This window comes from Homo sapiens, chromosome 8, assembly GCF_000001405.40.
Source record: "Homo sapiens chromosome 8, GRCh38.p14 Primary Assembly".
Lineage (NCBI taxonomy): Eukaryota > Metazoa > Chordata > Mammalia > Primates > Hominidae > Homo > Homo sapiens.
Genome location: NC_000008.11, coordinates 19,938,883 through 19,957,407, shown reverse-complemented (window position 1 = coordinate 19,957,407; position 18,525 = coordinate 19,938,883). Strand labels below are relative to the sequence as shown.

The 18,525-nt window shown below is 43.4% G+C and overlaps 1 protein-coding gene across 1 annotated transcript in view; it reads right to left on the bottom strand.

Moving 5' to 3' along the window:
- LPL (lipoprotein lipase) overlaps nucleotides 1-18,155 on the bottom strand; it is a 28,007-nt gene extending 9,852 nt beyond the window's left edge. The window contains exons 1-6 of the mRNA NM_000237.3: nucleotides 17,880-18,155; nucleotides 9,068-9,228; nucleotides 5,460-5,639; nucleotides 3,987-4,098; nucleotides 3,055-3,288; nucleotides 1,325-1,567 (exon numbers count right to left, since the gene is read on the bottom strand). Coding sequence (NP_000228.1) covers nucleotides 1,325-1,567; nucleotides 3,055-3,288; nucleotides 3,987-4,098; nucleotides 5,460-5,639; nucleotides 9,068-9,228; nucleotides 17,880-17,967 — 1,018 coding nt within the window. The 5' untranslated portion in view covers nucleotides 17,968-18,155. The remainder of the gene's footprint in view (nucleotides 1-1,324; nucleotides 1,568-3,054; nucleotides 3,289-3,986; nucleotides 4,099-5,459; nucleotides 5,640-9,067; nucleotides 9,229-17,879) is intronic.

Genomic DNA, 18,525 nt, shown 5'->3' with positions numbered 1-18,525 from the left:
CGAAAGACACCTCTACAGATTCTAAGAATCACCTTACACATGGGTGCCATATGTTTTACCTGGGGCCACTGTTCTTTAATATCATCCCTTCCCTCAGGTTTCCATCTGGATTCCACAAAAGCCACCCTTCCTGAAGTTGGTCCCTCTCACCGGATTTATCCGAAGACCTCCTCTCTCATTTTCCGACCATTCCTTTAGGTCTGCCTCTAAACAAGAGGCCAAGCTTGAAATTCAAGTGTGAAACAAACTCCTGGCAAAATGGCAGTATCTTAGAAGGTGTGAGATATTCTTGCCTTCCAGGAATAGTTGCATTTAAAAAGACAGATGAGGCCAAGGAGGGCAGATCACCTGAGGTCAGCAGTTCGAGACCAGCCTGGTCAACACGGTGAAACCCCCTCTCTACTAAAAATACAAAAATTAGCTGGGCATGATGGTGCATGCCTGTTATCCCAGCTACTCCGGAGGCTGAGGCAGGGGAATCATTTGAACCCGGGAGGCAGAGGTTGTGGTGAGCCAAGATCATGCCCCTCTCCTCCAGCCTAGGAGAAAGCTAGACTTCATCTCAAATTAAATAAATAAATAAATAAGACAGATGGTCCTTGCCTTTATGTAAGTTGTGAACATTCTGTAAAGGGCCAGGGAGTAAATATTTTAGGCTCTGTGGGCTATCAACTCTGTTATGGTGGCATGAAACCAGCCTTTGACAATATGGTAATGAATGTGTGTGGCTGTGTCCTAATAAAACTTTGCATGAGCACATAGAGGGGAACAACAGACACTGGGGCCTCCCAGAGGGTGGGAGGAGGGAGAGCTTCAGGAAAAGTAACTAATGGGTACTAAGCTTAATACCTGGGTGATGGAATATTCTGGACAACAAACTCCCATGTCACAAGTTTACCTTTTTAGCAAACCTACATACGTACCCCTGAACTTAAAAGTTTTAAAAAAACTATTTACAAAAGCAGGAAGTAGGCTGGATTTGGCACAAGGGTTATAGTTTGTTGACCCGAGGTGGATGGTTCCAAATGAGCTCTGAGCTCTGTGCTGATAGCCTAGCCCATGCTAATGGCCACATTTACAGGGGAGGGCAGCGAGCAAGGCTGCAAATCCCACACTGAGCACTGGGACCTTGCTGACAATGGGAATTAGAAGCCTCAGACAAATGGATCAATGCAACCCCCTATCAACAGAAACACCAGGGCTCAGGGTTTAGTAACACCAGTCATCATCTCTGTTCCAATGGACAGAATCAGTACATGTGATGCAGTGAGCATGATGAAATAGGACTCCTTGGTTTCCTTATTTACAACAGTCTCCAGCCTACCTTTGTAGGGCATCTGAGAACGAGTCTTCAGGTACATTTTGCTGCTTCTTTTGGCTCTGACTTTATTGATCTCATAGCCCAGATTGTTGCAGCGGTTCTTTCTACAACTCAAGCAGAGCCCTTTCTCAAAGGCTTCCTTGGAACTGCACCTGTAGGCCTTACTTGGATTTTCTTCATTCAACAGAGAGTCGATGAAGAGATGAATGGAGCGCTCGTGGGAGCACTTCACTAGCTGGTCCACATCTGGGTAAAAAAGAGACACCAAGATTGTATCTCGGCAGAAATTCACAAAGAGTGTTTCATTTGGCATGTCTAAAATAGGTGAGATGTGGTGTTAGAGTAGAATCACCCAAGGATATAGTCCTGTGCATTTATGATTGTAGGCCCTATTTCAGGAGATATTCTTGGTGGTAGCGGCCCACCCACCTTCAAGAGAGTGAAAGTTGCAAGTTCACAGGGAATTTTTGACTTTTGTGCTTCTTATATTTATGAGTATGTTTATGAAGCTGTAATAAGCCTCCAAGGTGGAGGTTGATTTCCTTGTTTATCTCATCCTTCTCTTACATTGAAAGTGTCTAACACTTCTAGGTGCTTCTAGAAACATATACCTGCCCCTTGCCTTACAATAAATTCTTCATAAGTCAAAAATACTGTAAGTCAAAATGCACTTAATACCCCCAAAACCCATCATAATGTCAAAAAGTTTTAAGTCAAACCATCACGTGCTTCTCAACTTAAAATGGTGTTACAGCCCAATTGTAAAGTTGGAAAACTGTAAGTTAGGGACAATTTGTATTTCTAGAAACCACATCTTAAGAGGGTAATTGTTAAATGAATTGTATTTTATCATTGATATTATGTACAATTGAGGGTTCTGCCCCTACTAACACTCTTTTATATCAAATGAACATAGAAATAATCAGCAATGCCATAAGAATGAATTCCTTGTAAGTTTTTAGGACAATCGAAAATAGTAACAATATGCTCTAAGTTCTATTACGTGCACAAAAATAACGAGAATATCCTAGGTAGGTCCCAATGTCTATAAAGTATGCAAGGGGCTCTTAAAAATAAATCGTAAACTGGGCGTGGTGGCTCACAGCTGCAATCCCAGAACTTTGGGAGGCTGAGGCAGGAGGATCACTTGAGGCCAGGAGTTTGAGACCAGCCTGGGCAACATTGCAAGTCCCTGTGATTGTGTGACTGCACCCCAGCTTGGGCAATAGAATAAGACTCTATCTCAAAAAACAAACAAACAAAAATCATAAATTTAACACAAGCTAACATTATTAAAGTAAAACATTAAGCTAACATTATGTTCTGAACATTTTGGAAGATTTATCCTAATTAACATCTTCTGTTCCAGTAACATCTAAAATCTTTCCATTGGCTTTGCAGCTACATTCAAGGTATGACAACATGTGGCCAGATAGCATTTTATGATGCCATTATTGAGGTCAGTGGAGTCTTCCTGTCTAAAATCCCACCTTTTTCTCTTGCTACTGTAAGTGCACTGCTCAGTGTAGCCTACAGTATAGTAAATAAAAGATAAAATGGCTGTCTGCCTGGCTCTAAGGTGGTCATGCTGAACATTGCAGAATTCTTCAGAAACATAATTTGGCCAAATGTGTATATGAAAACTACATACTTTGAAGCTACTGAGTAGGACATTGGGTCAATAAGGGTTAAGGATAAGAGTCACATTTAATTCGCTTCTAAATAATATTTACCTCCAAGTCCTCTCTCTGCAATCACGCGGATAGCTTCTCCAATGTTACATCCTGGCTGAAAAGTACCTCCATTCGGGTAAATGTCAACATGCCCAACTGGTTTCTGGATTCCAATGCTTCGACCAGGGGACCCTCTGGTGAATGTGTGTAAGACGTCTACAAAATCTGCATCATCAGGAGAAAGACGACTCGGGGCTTCTGCATACTCAAAGTTAGGTCCAGCTGGATCGAGGCCTTAAAAGGGAAAAAAGCAGGAACACAGATTTGTAAATTTCCATTCGTATGACATTCGCATGTCACTGCTCATCATTTGAATGCACTGGCAGCTATTTAGATTCTTATTAGCTCCTATTCTACAGTCATGGTATCTTTACTTAGAGAGACATAAAAGGAGGCTTGGCTCCTTCTAAAATGAATTTGAGTCTCTTAAACTAGCCTTATGCAGCAGTTTCCACTCAGGATGGCTGGATTTCCTTTTGTAGATTATTTCTGAATATGTCGAGAAGATGTATAAACAGTGGTGGGTTCTTTCTCTCTGTGTGTATGCCACACCTTTGCCTAGATGACGGTCTTCTTTCGAAGTGGCCTCTGGAATTGGTCCTTCTTCTTTTCTCCTAGTACTGATGTGCATTTACACTACTAAAACACAGAGCTGAGAGTGGGAGGAAACAGGCTTCCCAGAGAAATCTGCAGGCATTGTGTGTAATTATGCTTTATTTCTGTGCTATTGCCAGTGGATAGTAAGCCAGTGAGAGCGTCTGTGTTTTTTCTTATCCCTAATAAAGAGCCCTACAATGAGATAATCAAGTGCTGGTCATGTCTCCGGGAAGAACACCACACATGTGGGTATTTAACAAAATTTGTTCTGATTCTCTCTCAGAATGACAGTCTTTTCACCTCTTATGATAAGACCAACGAAATTGCTTTCTTACCAGTAATTCTGTTGACTTTCTTATTGGTCAGACTTCCTGCAATGCCAGCAGCATGGGCTCCAAGGCTGTATCCCAAGAGATGGACATTGTCCAGAGGGTAGTTAAACTCCTCCTTTGGAAGAAAAAGAAAATGAAGGTGCTTACAGTTCTGCCAAAAATAAAACTAAAAGAAACAAAATGAATATAAATATTGTTTTCCAAATATAGGAAATACTGAAAACTAATTCTACTTATTTTAATTTTGTGTTACAGGTAAGAGAGAGAAAATATTCTCTAGTGTTAAAATTGTCTTTTTCTTTTGTTTCACTTTTCCGTAAACAAATCCAGAATTGATTTTCTCTTTCTTTAATAGCAGATTTAAATTACAAAGTTTTTCCATGCATCTGAAATAGTATTATTTATGTATATAATATATGCATATGTTTGTATATGTATATGTATTTGCATATATAACCATATACTATACGTACAAACATATACACATATACATATGCGTATACATTTATATGCATGCATATATGTATATGTGTGTATGTTTGAATGTATAGTATATGGGTATATATTTTCCCATTATTCCTTACTCTAAATATCTGTATCACTTTATCATTGAAGGTTAGCCAAGCAATGACAGACTCAGGAAACATTCAGTGGAAGGGACCAGAGGTACATGGTCCAGCCCCTCATTTAACAGGTGAGAAGCCTGAGCCCCAGGGAGGTGATCCCGTTTGCCCATGTTCATTTGCCTGGTCAGCAAAAAAGACAAGAAAAGAACTTTTGTCTTTTATGATCAGTCTAATAAACACAGCTTATTTTTTACTTCCAATTACCTGGTTAAAATAATTTGCCTTGGTCAGAGTATCAGCTTCTTTCCAACCCCAAGATACTTTTCAGAGGTACTTCTCAAGGGATCGTGTGAAAAAGTGGGTCTCTTGCAGCTAAGTCAGAACTCCAGACCTCAGTTCCCTTCTATCCTATGCACCTTCCCTTCCAACATCTTCCTAGCTCAATTCCATCACTCTCCCAATGCTCAACAAAAACGTTCATCCTATTTCACACTAAAGAATAAGTACTATTAATATTTTCATGAAAGAGATTGGTATGTCAAGGTGAGGATAAGATGTCCACAGGCCAGCCAACTGGTAGGGAAGGGTCTGGCTGAACATGCCATCTTTCCTCTGTCCGAAAATCACAAGCTTTTTTCTGTTGGGCCCACTTAGTTATTGGTCTCAGCAGATCTATTCACTGTGAAAATATCAAACGATAGAGCAGGGCAGGACTATTTATTGGCCTTATAGTCTATTCTTATCAAAATGTTGCTTTTGGATATAAAATAATATCCACGCTGATTCTGAAGATTTGAATGCCCCCAGAAAATATTTAAATCTAAGAGAAAAGGAAGAAAGAACAGCCGGTTTTCTGGCTCCAGTCAAAAACACTGTTTTGGACACATAAGTCTCCTTCTCCCAGTCTTACCTCCATCCAGTTGATAAACCGGGCCACATCCTGTCCCACCAGTTTGGTGTAGCCCGCGGACACTGGGTAATGCTCCTGAGCCCGTGACAGCCAGTCCACCACAATGACATTGGAGTCTGGTTCTCTCTTGTACAGGGCGGCCACAAGTTTTGGCACCCAACTCTCATACATTCCTGTTACCTGAAGATGATGACACAAGCTTTCTTAAAATACCCACCTACCACTTGTCATAGATACATCAGCCCAATACACCTGCATGAAATGGAAAAAACAAACTTGATTGGAAACCCATTGGCACAGATAGAAAAATCAAATAACAGAACAGTGTTCAGAGACAGGTCTGTCCCTTCCAAGGCAGATCTAAGTAAGCCAGGAAGGCATTGAGTTGAGTTGAGGAACGGCAGATTGGGGTTCACCATGCTTCCCATTTAAAAAGTATATTTTAGACATTCAATAAAATTTTGATCATTTATACTATTAAAAGGAAAGATTGGTCTGAATGCAAAGTGGGTCTTTGAGGAAACTAGCAGGAGCACCTGGCTAGGAGCAGAACCCTGTTGAATTGGTCCAGTCCCACTCACCTTCGCCTCCCTTCAAGGTTGGGGTGTTGGGCACCCTTTGTAGTTGGCTTTCAAGATCAGGAGAGGTTGATGTCATTTCTTCAGAATGTAATGTTAATGTCTCCCTGTTTCAGCCAGGATCCCCTACTTCACAATGGGAACCCTGTACTTAAAGCCAGTGACATCCAAGCAAGTGGCAAAGCTCCAAGATAGCTGTGTCTAAGCAACCTGCTGGGATGTATCACATGCATGCTACATGCTAAGCATTCCTTTGGGTGTCTCATGACACAGCTGGAGAGCCTCCTCATTTCCCTTCGTCTGTGCCTGTGAGTCCCCAGGCAGCTTATTTCAGATAAGGCAAGAAAATCGGGTTTACTCTAGGCCTCTATCAGAAGTTTTTCTGTACTACCAGTGTTTCTCTTTTCTTTGTTCTTCCTTCCTTTCTTCCTCCCTCCCTTCCTTCCTTCCTTCATTCCTTCCTTCCTTCCTTCATTCCTTCCTTCCTTCCTCCCTCCCTCCTTCCCTTCCTCCTTCCCTTCCTTCCTTTCATTCCTTCCTTTCTTTCCCTCCTTTCTTTCCTTTCTTTTGGCAGAGTCTTACTGTCTCGCCCAGGCTGGAGTGCAGTGGCATGATCTCAGCTCAGTGCAACCTCCGCCTCCTTGGTTCAAGCGATTCTCCTGCCTCAGCCTCCTGAGTAGCTGGGACTACAAGCACATACCACCACACCTGGCTAATTTTTTTGTATTTTTTTAGTAGAGATTGGGTTTCCCCATGTTGGCCAGGTTGGTCTCAAACTCCTGACCTCCAGTGATCTGCCTGCCTTGGCCTCCCAGAGTGCTGGGATCACAGGCATGAGCCACCGCTCCCAGCCCAGTGTTTCCAAGTTAAGCAATCTAAAAAGGCTGGACATCCAACTTACTCCTACAGTGGCTGACATTTTTATTAACCGAACAATAGCTAATTGAATCCTTTCTTTCTGATCAACATAAAATACTGATGTAAGTAATCCCAAACAAAGCAAATGAAAAATCTAAGTACTCACCTTTCTCAACTCAAAAAGGGTCTTATTCTAAGTTCTTTCAATCTGAGTTTTTCTTCTGAGGTTCAATAATTACTATGTTTTAAATCTTTGGTTTTCAGACACGCAGCTGAACTGAAGCCCTCCCTGCTGCCTATACCAGGTGGGCCACCTGACCCTGCCAGTGAGTTCACTGAGATAATCAAGATCAGTGTGGCTGGCTTAGTTCTTGCACAGACCCAACTCAGTCCCACAGCCAGACAGCAGTCTCTGTGCTCAAGCACTCAAAATGTCAGGACACATGATGTGAAAGATACAGGTGGGCTTAGTGAGGCAGTAGGACCAATGATAGGAAGTGGCACCGTCTGTTGATATTGGGTTGGTCATGTCATCTTAGTATGAAAAAGAACCATTTTTTTCCCACAACTTCCCAAAGTATAAAATTCTCTCAGGGATAAGATTGAGATGACTGAGATACTCAATTTATTTCTGTTGTATAAATGCGTTTATTAAGCTCAGATTTTTTGAAAAATTTTAAAATCCAAGTTCTGTATATAACCAAAGGGCCTCTAAAGATTCCTTTTTCTGGGCCAGATGCAGTGGCTCTCGCCTGTCATCCCAACACTTTGGGAGGCCAAGGTGGGTAGATCACTTGAGGTCAGGAGTTCGAGACCAGCCTGGCCAACAGGGTGAAACCCTGCCTGTGCTGAAAATATAAAAATTGGCCGGGTGTGGTGGTGGGCGCCTGTAGTCCCAGCTACTCGGGAGGCTGAGGCAGGAGAATCTCTTATGCCCAGGTGGCGGAGGTTGCAGTGAGCCGAGATCGCGCCACTGCACTCCAGCCTGGGCAATAGAGTGAGCCTCCATCTCAAAAAAGAAAAAGATTCCTTTTTCCTACTTACACCTATTAAAATATTAAAGGATTTATGTTTAGGAATTTGAGATTTTATCACAAAATATTGAATTTACTATGTTAACATAGTAAATGGCTATATTTTGTTAAACATCTGTGTGAATTCTGTTAGTAGTAGTCTCATCTCTATAAAAATTGTAGCGATTGTCCTCTTCAGTCAATAACAAAGCCACTTAAATTATGTAGGAAAAGAAATGTGGACTAGATGAATGTTATTTTTAGTTAGTTCTCACTAGAAATTAGTATTATAATATTCACAAGCTCTGACATAATGGATAGATAATATATCTTTAACAAGCCATTTTACACAAATCCTTTTAAATAAATTACACAGTCTACTCACTTGGGATTGAAACATTTTAAAACAAACTAAGCAAGAACTACATAATCTAAAGTGACTGTGTGACATATTAGAGAGGGGACTTTTAACAATTTTTTAAAGTAAATTTAATCACAGTTTCACTTTTTCTAATCATCTGGCATGTCAGCATGTCAGTTCCCTGCCCAGCCCTTTTTTTTTTTAATTTCCAGAAAGGCTCCCTAAAGTTTACAACTGGAAAATTTTGGAAGTAGAGTGTTTTTAGGGACATCTAGTGCAACCTCTGCTTTACAGATCAGTAAATGGAGGCCCAGAGATGACAAGTGACTTGATCCACAGCACAGAGCTGGAGAATGGCAAAGCCAGCATGGACGCCACACTTCCTCACTCCACTCCAGCCCTCTCCTCACTCTTCCATGCTGTCTTCTTTAGAAAGGTTCTCCTGGCAATGTGCTGGGTGATGCGGGATCATGCCAGGGTTCCACCGGTTCCCCACAGCAATCACCTATCTTCTGCTCAGTAGCTGGGCAGAGCATCCTTTACCAACCTCGCAGGAAGCTCTGGCTCAAGGGCACCAACCAGGTACAGTGTTAAAATGAAGGCTGGCACTGCCTAGGGGGAGTTCTCATGAACCTGTGGCTTCAGATCCCACCTGAGCCAGAACTGTCTTTATTCAAGTGTAAGGAGATCCACGTGAGATGTGGGGTGCGGACCCATCACTGGGTCCCCAACAATTGGGCAGGCCAGTCAGGATACCTCACCACCCCAATCCACTCTTCCCCAAAGAGCCTCCCTTACCGTCCAGCCATGGATCACCATGAAGGTTTTGCTGCTGTGATTGAAATGACAGGTAGCCACGGACTCTGCTACTCCGGGAATGAGGTGGCAAGTGTCCTCAGCTGTGTCTTCAGGGGTCCTTAGGGCAAATTTACTTTCGATGTCGATAAAATCTCTTCTTTCTGGAAAGGAAAAATTGGATATGAGGTTAACTGGAGGGTTGCTTGATTTTATTCATTGGAATGATATGTTTTAGGTTCACAGGCAACCACCGCTGATGCTATTTTTGTTTCTGAAGTGTTTTCGAAAACGAATGTGGATTGCAAGAGAACAACAGATGCTCCAACGTTGAGCAAAGTTGACAGAGAGACAACCTTAACTCTGAATTAAGATTGTCACCATTGACCTCTCCTAAGTCTTCCAGCCTTTCTTGAAGCTCTCCTTAGTCAGGGTATGTGTGTGTACGTTTGTGATTTCAACTAAGGGAACTGCTGTTTGGGGATTCCTTAGTTAATTCTGTCTTCTCTCAAGACATGAATTTAAGTGACTTGGCTGAGGCTACCCTGGTATTAGTGGGAGGGTGAGGATCAGAGCCCGGTCTCTCAGTTCCACTTTGAAGCTTGCTTTCGTGGAGAACACTGACTCATGCATGGCTCTTGTGTGCTATAGTTCCACTATTTGTGTGTGTGTGGGGCGGGGGGGGGGTTGTTTTGTTTTGTTTTGTTTTTTGAGACAGGGTCTTGTTCTGTGTCCCAGGCCAAAGGAGTGCAGTGGTGCGATCTTGGTTCACTGCACCCTCGAACTCAAGTGATCCTCCCACCTCAGCTTCCTGAGTAGCTGGGACCACAGGTGCGTGCCACCACGCCAGGCTAACTTGTATTTCTTGTAGAGATGAAGTTTGGCCATGTTGCCCAGGGTGGTCGCTATCTCCTGGGCTCAAGTGATCCACCCGCCTCAGCCTCTTAAAATGCTGGGATTACAGGCATGAGCCACCGGGCCTGGTTAATTTTTGGATTTTTAGTAGAGATGAGGTTTCACCATGTTGGCCAGGCTGTTCTCAAACTCCTGGCCTCAAGTGATTTGCCCACCTCAGCCTCCTAAAGTGCTGGGATTACCAGTGTGAGCCATCGGGCCGGGCCTCTATTTTTAATAAAATAATTTAAAAAAAATTTTTTAAAGAAAAGTTGGAAGCATGAGGAGGCTTTTGTATGAAACTGTTCCCACTCCTATGGCAAGATATACTTCAAAATGTTCTAAGAAATAATTTAGTAGGTTGTTCAGAAATACCCGTGCTATGTATCAGCCATGGTTAATTCTCTCCCCAAATATTTCTTTTCCCACTATGTCATTACAATGTTCCACACAAAGGCAAAACTTGAAAACCACAGCAAACCTTGTTGTTGAAAGGGTTCACTTTGGTTCTTCATAGTTAATCCCAAACTTGGTGAGAAGAGAAAGACAACCTAGTTTTTGAAACTATGGACAATAGTTATAAATGCTGCTGAATCTTCATGGGGTACAGTGAATAGTTGAAGTAAATTATATTGCAAATAAAATCAGACTTCATGAAGCAGAGCACAATCAAAGGGAAGTTATGTTAAAGGGAAATCATTTAATTCCTTTTCAAGTAAAGAAGTTAAAGAAAACGACCCATAACACCCACCTATTTACTGTAAGAAGGTAATAACTTGTAGATTTTAGATTTTGCCGTTCGAAATTTCAGGAGATTCATGAGGCTGCGAGGACTACTTCTCATTCCTTAATCTAAATTTGCTCTTTTTTTTCAACTCAAAATTTAAAAATCTGTAACTTCAAAATAACTGCGGAAGTCAGGCCAATAATAAAAATAAGAGTGTCATAGTGAGAACAGTGAAAGAATAGGCATTTGAATCAGCCTTATCTAAATATCTGAGGATTGGCCAACATTTTCCTATTGAGTAATTATTTTCTAAAATTCCTTAAACAATATTGTGGTTTAAGAAATATGCAATGAGTTGATCACACACACATACACACACACGTGCACACACACCTCCGTCATCTAAAATGTAGGAGAAATTTCTTAATGATTCTAATTATGAGAAAAGGAGTTTTGTTACAATGGGTAAACACTCCAAGATCACTTATTCAAATAAGAGTCTTGCTAAACTATTGATCTTTAAAGCTCTTTTCATTTGCATATAGTAAAAGTACACGTGAATCCATTCATCCACCAAGAATATGCTCTACTTCTCATCTTTATTTGAAGATGTTGGTAGCCTTCTTCCTTCCCAACCAGAAAGCACTCTAGTAGCTTTACTATTTCTCTGATAATGGAAGAGTATTGAATACTTTTAATCTAATTCTGCCTTCAGTGCCCAAGAACTTCTTTTCCTGTTAAAAAGTGCTTTAGAAAATTTAAAACTAATTTCACCCTCTCCCACACCTTTCCACCTTAAATAGCTCATACCTCCTCTCCACAGGTCTTATTTTAACATATTCTATGATCAATCTTTTTAAAGCAGAGATGATGTGAACAATCTGGCAGACAGATCTCGCTTACCACCTATTTGCCAAATTGACATTTTAAGAATAATGCTCAGTATAACTCCAGAGGCTGCCATTCACTTTTAGTCCACTTTCCCCTAGAATTATGCAACTTGGTGTCCCTGGAATTGCTGGTGGTTTTGAAATGACCACAAATTTTCTTTGAAATGACTAAGACTGGCTTTGTGTAGTTCCATGAAAAAAAGTCTATTCAATCCATAGATCCTGTACCAGATTGCATGTATGGCTCACTGACAGCTCCAATTTCCCTCTGTTGGGTCCAGAGTATGTAATGAAAAGTAGGAAATTTACACATCCTCTAGTAAATTTGTATTTAGAGACTTTCATTTCACTTTTAAAGAAAATGATTTTCATTTGACAGGAAAATATACCACTCTATGTGCTCTGTGATGGTTTCAATTCTATGTCAGACATGACATCATAAATCTTATCGGCACTTAGTCAAACTTTCCTTTTCTTGGATGTTCTGATAATTTTCACACTACCTGTGTTTGCAACCCCCCGAGGATGTCTCAGTGTCGTAAGATGAATATGCTTCCCAAACTTCAGTCAGCTCTCCAGTAACTGACTTAGACCATGTGGCTGTGGGGCAGTCAGTATATTTATTTGTCCCAATGCATCCTGTGATTGCTATTGGGCAGCAGGTGAACTGATTTGATGCAATTGTTACTAAGGAAACAGTTATTTTCCATACATGGAAATAATATTAGTGACTGCACTCATCCAACTAGACTGTCTTTTGCCATGTCCCTTAGAAATTAAGGCCACCTTAGAATTGAGAAAGAAGAGGAGTACAGGAGGGAGGGATGGAGGGAAGGAAGGAAGGAAGGAAGAAGGGGAAGGGGAAGGAAGGAGGGAAGGAAAGGCAGGCCTTCATTCTGAATTTAACTTAGCATCACCGTACCACCTGCCCATCAGGCCTCGTCAGAAATGTCCATATTAAGCCCTTAGGGGAGAGTTTTGGGTAACACGCAAGTTATAAATTGTGCCTTTCCTGACTATGGAATCTTTATTCCTAAATTCCTAAATAAATAACTACAAATCTGAGTGTGTAAACAAAGACAAAGAATTTATTCTAACATAGATAATAACTCACAGAGACGAAATTAGGCTGAGAAGTTAAAGCACGTAGAGAAAGATAAATGTATAGAGGGGAAGAGTGGTAATTCTTGTTGCTAGAAAGAGGGAAGTGTTGAGCATCCCAGGAAAGCAGCAGATGGTGCTTTAAAGGCAGATCAAAGTCATCACGTGAGTAAGATGAACATTTATGCAATGACATGAGGTACAAGAACTCAATGAGAATGCAATTCTCTTTGGAATTTCTGTTCTCCTGTTATCCCCCCACCCCTTTCTCTCTCTCTCCCCCCTTTTCTCTCACTCCTACAGGGCTTCCTCAGTAATTCATTTGCTCTCTGAGACTGATAGTCATAGTTATCGACTCAGGCAGTGTCTGTAGGATATCGAAGAACAAAGTGAATTACTGATGTGGTCGATTTGGTGAAGAAAAACATCAATATCATGATCAGACTGAATTGATTGGTCTGTTCAGATATTCTAACGTAAGTAATGCTCTTGACTTCTCTAACATGCAGCTTTACTTTATTTCATTTTATTTTATTATTATTTTTTGAAACGGAGTCTTGCTCTGTCACCCAGGCTGGAGTGCAGTGGCACGATCGTGACTCACTGCAACCTATGCCTCCTGGGTTCAAGCCATTCTCTGCCTCAGCCTCCCGAGTAGCCGGGATTACAGGTGCCTGCCACCACGCCTGGCTAATTTTTGTATTTTTAGTAGAGATGGGGTTTCACCATCCTGGCCACGCTGGTCTTGAACTCCCGACCTCATGATCCACCCGCCTCGGCCTCCCAAAATGCTGGGATTACAGGAGTGAGCCACTGTGCCAGCCTACTTTTTATTTTTATAAAAGTTGTTTTATTAATGGAATAGGAAAAATAAATCCTGTATGAATCATCTGAATTTTACCCTGAATTTTCTCCAATATTAGGGCTAACCTTCCACACTACTGAAAAAGAGGGGTTAAAAAATAGGTTCAGAGATGTGTATTAAAATTGCCCCACTGAATGAGACCATCAAGTGTGAATAAGCCATCATTATTTAAGGAGATCTTGTGGACTGGTTAATGAAATAATTTGGTTGAGTGTCATCACATAGGCATATTTCAGTCAAGATTTTTTAAGTGAAATACAAAATACTTACCTGGTTAATCTGAGACTACTTTCTTCTTGTTGCTGAGGATGGCAAATGGAAACATCCAGTTGTCTCAAACTAACACAATGAAAGTCCATGATTACTTTGCCAACAATTGTTTTATTGGAGGGAGGGCTGAATAAACATGGGGACGCTATTCTTTTTAGTTAAAATGTAAGTGCTAACTCCTATACTGTTTTTCACCGTAATTAATTCTGCAGCCAATTTTTTTTCAAAGGTACATTATTGATGTCATGATAGCTGTATCTTGAATGAAGGGCTGTTGAGGATCTCTAAGTGCAGATCCATTTACCTACATTCACCACCATCCCTCCGAAAGCATCTGACTTTTCATGCTACTTAAAAGCTTCTCTAAACTTTGTACTACACTCAAATTAATCCAAGCCAGAATGGTATTACCCCTACCTGACTGCATAGAAAGAGACTTCAACATTTACGAAAATACAGATGAGCGCACACACCAAAGTGGGTTGAGTGCTGTGAGCAAGGTGGCTGGATTAGACACAGTGTGGCCACGCCAACTGGGTCATCTTTGTTCTATTCTACTGTCAAATAATGGTGGGAGACGTTTTCGTTTATTCATTCAAACAGTCAAAATCACCACACTACTTAGATAGCATTTGATCATTCTGAGAGCACAGACTGGGAAGAGCAAAAGGAATGAATTGGCACAAGTTTAATAGGCTCACTTCCGGCAGAACTTACATATATATATAGCACCTAAGATAATCCATTCCTTCCTTCCTAGTAGATACCTGTTGTTGAGTACGCAAATGGTGTCAGTGCACACAGACAATCTTAAAATGGCCACAAGACAGCAAACTGCAGTCACGCAGTCTAGTGAACAGACATCGTTCAGAGTAAATTTCAAACTCTTAGCCTCTGAGTAAGTTGGAACCCTATCCTATTAGTCCTTCAGAAACTATTGGAGCCTTCAACTTTTGCAAAGACAGAATGTGACAAAAGCACTGTGACAAGAATTTTACTCCCAGGTTAGAAAGTCTCTGTTGATAAAAGGTATTTAGTTCACTGTGGTGACAAACTCATTTAATGGATAGATGATCCCAAAGCTTTACACTGATAAGTGTTTTTGTTGTTTTTATTGCCATAAAAGTTGGAATTTACCTTATTAGTAAATCCAAATGGTCTCTTCATCCAGACCTTAAAAAATCATGATACTCATGTCTTGAATACTTTCCTTACACTTTGTGATCCAAAATCATCACCAACCATCATTTTGATGGCTGGAACATCTTCATATTTAAGTCAATGCAGTCTTTGTGGTGGTCACGGAAGAAACTAGCTGCAAAATATTGTAAGTTGCAAGGCATTTTCTTGAACAATCTGGCATAAGGCAGTAAACTCTATGGCCCAATTTTTCCTCCATAATAAAGCAAGAACAGAAAGCTGAGTTAAAAATAAGCTGCTGAAAGAAAGCGAAAATTTTCCATCGCCGCTCTTCCCCCGTACCTGACTCCCACCTTTCAATACAGCTATTAATCAATCACTCCCTCGCTGAGCTCTCCTTCAGTGACATCTGCTATTTTGCTCTCCTTTGCCATCATGTTCAACTCAGAAGACAGCCTGGAAATTCACGATGGCCAGGCAAGTGGAACTTCAGCTGCTAAGCACTGACCATACTCTCCCTCTCCTAGCTCTTCACGTTTCCTAATTGGGGCCATGCAGAGATGGTGGTGGCTCCCAGGACGAAGTGCCTGAGGACAGTGCCTCTTGTCCTCATATTCTTGTTAGAAAGAATCCAGAATGAATAAGTAAACTCAAGAGCCCAGAGGAGGTGATCCCTGTCTTTCTACCACGGTGACATCTTTCTCTCCCTGAAATTCTTACCTTCCTAGATGAATGCATCTGGAGGAGAAAGAGGGAGAAAGTTGCTGTGATGGGAGAGGCATGATATATTGGGTGAGTAGAGTGAAAGTGGAGGGGATGGGAGGGCATCGTTTCCAGTCTACTTGGAAATAATCCTTCCTTAATATATTTACAGCTAGGAAAAGCATGTGTTGGCTACAACTCAATTAAACTAATTAATCACATAAGTGTCCACTTAAAGAGGCAAGAGTTACACCAGGCTCAGAGAACATTGGCCTCATCCAAACTCATTGCAGAGTTGAGGAACCTAAACCCAGAGAGGTGACACTGACTCCCAAGAATTTAGGATCTTGAACCTGTAAGGGAGCCTAGGAAAAACTTGAATGTGATGACATATTTCGGTGCTTGTTTTGCAATGAAAATGACGTTATTCTATGGTGTGCTTTCTGAAATAAGAATTTGGAGTTGGCTCCTACCATCTTCTTGTCAGCATTAAGCAGTACGAAGGGAAACATACGAAACATACCCCACCTAAGATGTTGAAGACTTTCTCATCAACTCTCCAGTGTTTTCAAACTGATCCAATAGAAAAGATACTTTTTTTCTTATCCAATTTTGCTTTGATGGAATCTATACTTAGTGTTTGTTTTGTTTTGTTTTAATTTTATGAGACAGGGTCTCACTGTCACCCAGGATGAAGTGCAGTGGGGCAATCACAGCTCACTGCAGTCTACTGAAACTCCCTGGCTCAAGTGATCTCTCAGCCTGCTGACTATCTGGGACCACAGGCACAGGCCACCACGCCCGGCTAATTTTTGTATTTTTTTTTTATAGAGACGGTGTCTCCCTATGTTGCCCAGGCTGATTTCGAACTTCTGGGCTCAAGCTGTCTTCCGGCCTCGGCCTCCCGAAGTGCTGGGACTACATGGGTGAGCCACTGCTCCCTGCCAACTTTTTGTTTTTTAACCTAACAAAAATGTTTCACAAATTAATGCCAAAATAAAACAAACGTTTAGCGGCCATCAAAGCTATGGAGAGACTCTATTATAACTTGAACCGCTGGGGACGTGCCGCCTGAGAGCACATCCAAGCGACACCGCCCTAATTGCAATTCCAGCATGGAAGAAAAAAGGAAATGTTGTCCCGTGTTATGAATGGCTTCAGCTGCTCTCTATGCTGCTGTTGCATGTTTACTGAATCGAGGTTCGAATTAAGCAGGCTGCCTCCATTGCGGACAGGTCTGAGACATTCTCATTTGGCCCCGAACGCCTGGACCCCAGCGAGCGGGCGGTTCCCTGGCGGCGGTGACCACCGTTGTGCTCGCTGCCTCCACGCGGCGCCCGTCAACCCCACGTGCTCGCAGCCGCGCGGCGGGGCCGGGCGCCCGGAGCTGACCTCAGCCCCCAGGACAGAAAGGGTGGCCAAACGCAGACCTGGCAACCCCCCGAGTCGGCGACCACAGATTGCTGGTGGCTGCGCCACGGTTTCGGGAGGGTCAGCCCCTCGCTGGGTTCTCAGGGCACTAAGAAAAGAGGGGCATGCGAGCCTGGAAGCTGGAGAGAGTCCGGGGCTCCCCAGAGCGGGTGGGACGCCGCGTCCCCAGGACTCCGCGCCACGCGTACTTTCTCCACCCCGACACCCACTGCCACTCCCACAGCGGAGCGAGGGGCCCCGCCGAGGGCGAGCGTACCCCGTGCGGCTGAGATGCCCGGAACGCCTCCCCGCGCCCCGGCTTCCCCAGAAGGGGCCACAGTCGGCCCGCGAGTCCCCGGGCGGGGGCTGAGCCGCAGTGCCAACCAAGGCGAGGTCACCTTGGCCCGCGCGCCTTTCATTCCAGGGCCCCTCCGGCAGAGAGGTGACTGCAGGTCACCGCCAGCCGGGCCCTTACTCCCCGCCTCCGCCGTCCCGGCCCCCACACCCCGGAACCTCCCCGGCGGAGCCTGCGAGCCCGGGAACGCGGTCCCAGCCAGAGTGGAAGGGATAGCGCGGGAACCCGGCAGAGAGAAAAAGCGGGAACTGGGCGCCGCCGCTTCACGATCGGGAGGAGATTCCCTCCCGGCCCCTCCTGGATCCCACTCCGGGGACCGTTTCGGGGCTAGAGCCCAGGCTGGGAGAGTCCCTGGGCGCATCCACCGCCCCTTCCAACTTCCTTCTTCTCATCCTCAGTTCGGGTGGCAGTGGCCACCCGCCGGGTCTGCAGGTGGAGGGGAGTTTGCGCGCAAAACTTACGGTCGGCGGCGGCCACCCCTCCGCGGGAGGCGGTCAGACTCTGGAGCCACACGGCCAGAGTCAGCACGAGCAGGGCTTTGCTCTCCATCTCGGGGCGCGTCCCTCTGGAGGAGCTGCAAGGCGCGGACCGACTGATGAGCCGGCTGAGCCGGAGGCTGGAGAGGGCTGGAGCCGCGGTTTGGCGCTGAGCAAGTCGCCCTTTAAAGGGGATGGCAGGGCAGCTAGAAGTGGGCAGCTTTCCCTTGAGGAGGAGGAAGAGGGGGAATCGAGTCTGACACTGTTTTCACGCCAAGGCTGCTTATGTGACTGGAAATATGCAAATAAACCTCATCACCTATTGGCTATAAAATCATAAGTTGGGGGGAGGGACCTAAATTCACTTCTAAACGTTTGAGCAAACAGTAATGAGGATCAACCCTGCCAACGAGAAGAGGGGGAAAGGGCAGACGGAAAAATTTGCTTTGTTAGGCTCCTGTTCGCTTAGCTTAAGGGGTTCCACTCTACCCGGGGGCCCCCTGTCTAAGCACCAAACACAGGTTTACATCGATTCACGTTAAATACTCAACAATCACCTGTTTTCCAAGGAGGGAAAGTTTAGCTGTTAAATTACATTTGATCGGCACTTTAATACACCTCTCTTTTGACG